General features: G+C 38.7%; 1 protein-coding gene across 11 annotated transcripts in view; it reads right to left on the bottom strand.

Moving 5' to 3' along the window:
* Positions 1-586: 586 nt before the first annotated feature.
* The window catches only part of POLB (DNA polymerase beta), a 33,315-nt gene continuing 27,885 nt past the window's right edge, over positions 587-6,016 (bottom strand). For all 11 annotated transcript variants that reach the window (XM_005273535.5, XM_005273536.5, NM_002690.3 and 8 more), the window contains 3 exons: positions 3,060-3,124; positions 2,407-2,546; positions 587-832 (listed from right to left, as the gene is read on the bottom strand). In XM_005273535.5, the coding sequence (XP_005273592.1) occupies positions 738-832; positions 2,407-2,546; positions 3,060-3,124 (300 nt within the window). In that variant the 3' untranslated portion in view covers positions 587-737. The remainder of the gene's footprint in view (positions 833-2,406; positions 2,547-3,059; positions 3,125-6,016) is intronic.

The following is a 6,016-nucleotide window of genomic DNA, read 5'->3' as shown; positions in this document are numbered from 1 at the left end:
ACAAAAAACTAAATTTATGAAGGTCCCTAGTTTATTTTTTTGAGATGGAGTCTCACTCTGTCGCCCAGACTAGAGTACACTGGTGTGATCTTGCCTCACTGCAACCTCCGCCTCCCGGGTTCAAGCAATTTTCCCACCTCAGCCTCCTAAGTAGCTGGGATTACAGGCATATGCCACCACCCTCAGCTAATTTTTGTATTTTTGGTAGAGACAGGGTTTCACCATGTTGGCCAGGCTGGTCTCCAACCGCTGACCTCAGGCGACCCACCTGCCCCAGCCTCCCAAAGTACTGGGATTACAGACATGAACCACCGTGCCCCGCCCCCCCCCAGTTTCTAGAAAATATTGAACAGTCTTCCAGAGGCTAGTCTCTGGGTGTACCTTAATTAACAATTTTTGATCAGTAAGTAGGGGTAATGTGGTTTATAGCATAGAGCAGAATATGAGAAAATAAAAATTCCCATTAAAGATCTGCTATCATCTCATATTTCTCTCTACAAAACCCATAGTAAAGTATGATCATGAACACAATATGAAAATTTAAACTAAACATACTTGCTAAGAAAATAAGATCATCATCATCCAATAATAGTACATGAGGTTTTATTGACTACATTGCAAGCAAAAGCATGAAGAAGAAACAATCATTTAAAAACACCAAAGACCCTTACATAGCAAAGGTTAAGAAATAAATTAAGACTCCTATTGGGTTGTGTCTGCCAGGGAGGATACAGGCCTCATTCGCTCCGGTCCTTGGGTTCCCGGTATTTCCACTGGATGTAATCAAAGATGTCTTTTTCACTATCCACTGGCAGGGGTTCTCCTGCAACTCCTGCAAGTACAGAGAGAAAAACTTATTGTAAGAACCAGTTTTATAGTTTAGTTATAGAGGGTTCAAGATTAAGAGCTGTGTGGGACTTGCTTTCAGAAGAAAAAAGAAAATGGTAACCAAGTCACTAAAAAAAAAAAGACCGGCGGATGTGGTAGCTCACGCCTGTAATCCCAGCAATTTGGGAGGCCGAGGCAGGTAGATCACCTGAGGTCAGGAGTTTGAGACCAGCCTGACCAACATGGAGAAACCCCATCTCTACTAAAAATACAAAATTAGCCAGGCGTGGTAGCTCATGCCTGTAATCCCAGCTACTCGGGAGGTTGAGGCAGGAGAATCGCTTGAACCTGGGAGGCAGAGGTTGCAGTGAGCCGAGAATGTGCCATTGCACTCCAGCCTGGGCAACAAGAGCGAAACTCCATTTCAAAAAAAAAGACACTGACTACCTCTATCCTCTCCCAGGAGGCTGTGCTGGAGCTTCATCTCGTGAGTCATCAGTGCCACAAAGGGAACCTGGGGATCCCAGCTAGGGCCACTCAAGTCATCCTCACTCATGATTGTCCTTTCTGCTGGAGCCACTATGTATTATATACTCTAGTGAGTTCCTTTGCAACTCGGTTCTTGGACTAGCAGCACTGGCATTATCTAGAACAAGCTTATCCAACCATGGCCCGCCAGCTGCATGCGGCCCAGCTCCACTTTGAATGTGGCCCAACACAAATTCGTAAACTGTCTTAAAACACGATGAGATGTTTTTATGATTTTTTTCTTTAAAGCTCATCAGCTATCGTGAGTGTTAGTGTATTTTATGTGTAGCCCAAGACAATTATTCTTCTTCCAATGTGACCCAGGGAAGCTAAAAGATTGGTAACCTCTGATCTAGAAGCTTACTAGAAATGCAGAATCCTGAGCCCCACTGCAAGCCAAAGGAATTAGAATCTGAATTTAGTGAGGCCCCCATGTTGCTGGTATGCACACTGAATTGTGAGAAGCACTGCCCTAGTCTACCAGGGATGAGGTATTTTATACTTTGAGGACAAAGTATTTTATACTTTGAGGACAAAATGACAAAAATTCATTCTCCTAGTAGAGAACAGTAAACCACATAGTATACTGTGAAATGTTAACAGAACCCATTAAGCATAGATTCAGCAATCCTTATTCTTTAAACTTTAAAAGCATGGGGCCAAAGATACCATGGCACTAAAAGCAAAGTATGTGGCACTGAAAACAATGATACTTGAGTTTTTCAGGGGTCCTAGAGGTACATTAAACAACAGCAAAAAAAAAAAAAAAAAAAAAAAAACCCTTTTAGATGAATAAGATATTTTACTGAGCATGCAAGGATTTAATCCATTTTAACAAAGCTGGAACTAACGCTTGCCTTGATGGCCTTCAACTGAGGGCCTAGGAGCATGTTATGCATTAAATCCTCTCTCGTTGCCTGAAGGACTAAAAATACAAAGAAACTACACTAACTGGCATAGTTATTAGAAGGTTTGCTAAACCAAAGTATCTTTGAAAATAACCTTCTCTCCAGATGAGAGATGATCTCTAATACACACATGGACACTCACCAGTGACTCCCAAGGGACGGATGGTGTACTCATTGATTGTGAAACCCTTTTCTAGGGCATGAGCCCTCATATTCTTATTGAAAATATCACTCCCAGTGAAATAGAGAACACCACAGTAATACTGATCTTTGGGTATCAACCTAAAAAAAATGGACAGTAGATACATTTTTTTACCATGCATTTCAAGTTTAGCAAATATAGGACTCCTAAAATCAATAAGGAACAAAATACCAAAGATAAGCCTAAGTGGTCTAATAATTTGAAGAGAAGACTATCATGAGGTAGACTGCTCAAATCACCCCAACCTTGTAATTTGTTTAGGTTTCTGTGAACTTTGTTCTGAAAGAGATGTGGAGAAATGAAATTGCATTATCACCTATTACAACTAACTTAGCCCAGGCAGGAAATGACTTTTGAGCTGTGGAAGGCATCATGGTGAGGTGCAAATCTAGAGAAAATAAATTGGAGTCTGTAGACAGTCATTATTCTTTACATACTTTGGAGCTAAACATTGCATTTGGCAAGAACATATGGCTCTTGGGAGTAAAAAAAGGCTCTAGATATGAATGTGAACTCCAAGATACAAACAGGGAGGGAGAAAACGAGACAAGTTTGGAAAAGTTAACAGGTCAGCAACAAAGTCTGAACAATACCTGATATCAATTCTTCTGTGTGGATATTCTTTTTCATCATTTTTACTGGGAAGCTGGCAAACACCCTAAAATGAACATTTTAAACCAAGTTTAAAGATGTTCTAAACTTAAGGCTTAATTTTAATCAAGTAAAACACAAGGCCATTTTTGTTTTTAATGTTAGCAGCTCTAGAATTCTGAGCACTTTTAACTTAGCAGCTTCTGTGAGCAATACACTATCCCTACCTTTCTATTACACTTCACGATAATTAGAGAACTACACAAAACTGCAAATAAGGATTCTCATTATGAGGATTTGGTCTTTGTGTGATTCTAAGCAAGAAACTAATCAAAGAAAACCCTGAACACGAAACACAGACATCAAAATAAACAGAAGAGAGCAACGTGGAAGAAACGATGATTATGCAGGAAGAAGAAAACAAACAAAAAAGCTACCAGTATAGTCTCAAACAAAAAAGCTTCCAGTAATAACAGAAGATACTCTATCCATGAAGTAAGAACAGAATACTATAGAAAACCCTCAGGGAAAGGTTTAAATCAAAATTTAAAATGATAGGTAGCAGAAGTAAAAGAGTTTGAAATTGAAGAAATCTCTCAGACACTAGAAGGGAGAAAGACACGGAAAATAAGAAAAATATGAGATCAGAAAATGAGGGGATCACTTTCTTCCTTCACAGGTAATTTTTCATTATACTTCTACAATTTCCAAACAAAAGTTATCCAAGTCTGTTTTATCTTTTCCCTTTCCTGAAAAATGGACAAAAAATCTGGACTGGTCAGCAACCCATACATATGTAAAACAAGATATAAGCACCACCAAATTTCCAATTAAAAGTATCAAATGCTACATTCTAAGAAAAATACACAAGTGACAAGCTTCTGGTCCTCAAGAGTGGTCAAGTTAACACATGCCACTAAAAGCCATACTTTTTCACTCAGCAAAATAGAAAAATTAAAATCTAAACTAATTCTTTAGCTGTTCCTATGGAAGAAAGATTAATGAAATATGTTTACCTTCAAAATATGAAACCTACCTTCTTAGGCACTAACAAGTTCCAACTCAACTTCCACCTTCAAGTGGATCAGAAGTCATTTCCACCTGGAATTACCAGGAGGTATTACCTTGCGGATGCGGATGTCTAGATACCACAGGGAATGATGTTCCTGTTTGTCACATCAGTAATAGGATTTTATCTCATGGCTTTGTTCCTTTCCTCAAGGCTAATTTTATTTCCTGCACTTTTTCTGAAGTGCTAATATTAAAGAATTTCTCTGTTTTACTGTAAATTCTGTATTAGATTGAGTGGATTAGCTTTGTTTGGCATTTCATTTGGGTAGCTTCATACTGAGTGTCGGAAATAAAACCTCTTTCATTTCCTCGGGGTAGCCATGGTATCTCCTATTGTCCCTTGAATTCTTACTGCAGATATTTCACAGAAAATCACCCAAGGCCAAACTTGCACAAAATACTGAAATCTGAATGGCACTCACCGTATATAAAACCAATAGTTGAATGCAGAGGAAACTTTTTTTCTTCTGAGTGTTACTATATTCACAGGAATATAGTATAGCTCAATTATCTAAAGACTATGATTGCACAAGATGATCTGGAATAACCATGGCTTTCCTAAGGTTTGATTACTATTAGCTTAAAGGAATTTGTGTCTTGAATATAACTTGAAAAACACATGAAGAGGCATACCTTTAAGACTAGTAAGTGGTGATAGCAAGAAGAGGTTTTGCAAAAAAAGGGGATATGGAATGAGAATGGTTTATTTCACTACCTAAGTTGAATTCATTTTGCAGCCAATTTCCTTTTAGAAGCCTAGAGCTCTCATCTTCATTAGATATCTTGCTCATGCTCATTCCCATAGGCTTGGTGCTCGGACTCCTGCCTGGCTATCTCTTCCCTCAGATACCGGCTTAGCTAACTCCCTATGTCATTCCCTAAGTCTCATGTTCTCAATGAGGCTGCCTCCAACCACACTATTTAATACTGCCTCCTGCACTCTCCTCTCCCCTAGACCCTGTTCTTCCTTTTTAAAAAATAACACTTACTACCCAACCTATTATATAATTCACATATTTATTATGTTCATTGTTAACTATCAGTCCCTTCCCACAGTCCTCAAATATGAGTTTTACTTAAATTCATGGATACATCCCAAGCTTCGAGAACAGTGCCTGGAATGGAGGACATGCTTGTATGTATTTGCTGAACTGACTGAATACAACTGCTGCCCTGGGGGTGCTCACTCTCCTCATTCTGTTCTCCTTTCATGGCACCATCCTCTCTCTTTCTATCCCTTCTTTTGTTCCCCAATCTAACCCTTACCAGGTCACCTGCCTCTACTGACCCATTTCCACACAGATGACATCTTATATTTGTGCAGCTCTCTTTGTACAACTCTTGGAAGATCCATTATCTTTGAAGTTGTGCAAATTCTTATTTGTACATCAAATATTTGTACAAACTCTTCAAAGTTTCCACATATACTATTTAATTTTGATCTGCATAACGGTCTTCTGACGTAGGGCAAATATCAATTTTAAAGATAAAACTCAGGCCTTTTAGAAGTAAATCCACCTTCCCAATGCCATACAGAGTATTAGTAATGGAGCCAGAATAAGACCCTCTATCTTCTGTATCCAAATTTATTCTTCTATAATGAAAGATACAAACCACCTCTTACCTGTCTCTAAAATTGATTTGAAAGTTGACCTCGAGTGCTTCTCTTCCTAACAATGATTACAAATGTCAAAACAGCATGCTCAACTACGGTATTTTTTTAAGTTCCAGGGACTATGAACCACAGGTATAACATCCAAACTTTGTCAAAAACCACCCACTGAGATGGATTCCTATGTCGCAACATAAAGGCCTTAGTTTCTTGTTCTTATTGTCACCTGAATCTTCTATACTTTAAAAACAAATAAACAGACCCAGTCTTCTTGTT

The sequence above is a fragment of the Homo sapiens genome, chromosome 8, assembly GCF_000001405.40.
Source record: "Homo sapiens chromosome 8, GRCh38.p14 Primary Assembly".
In the NCBI taxonomy this organism is placed as follows: domain Eukaryota; kingdom Metazoa; phylum Chordata; class Mammalia; order Primates; family Hominidae; genus Homo; species Homo sapiens.
Note: the sequence above shows the minus strand (reverse complement) of the source record. Positions and strands in the feature narration are given on the sequence as shown.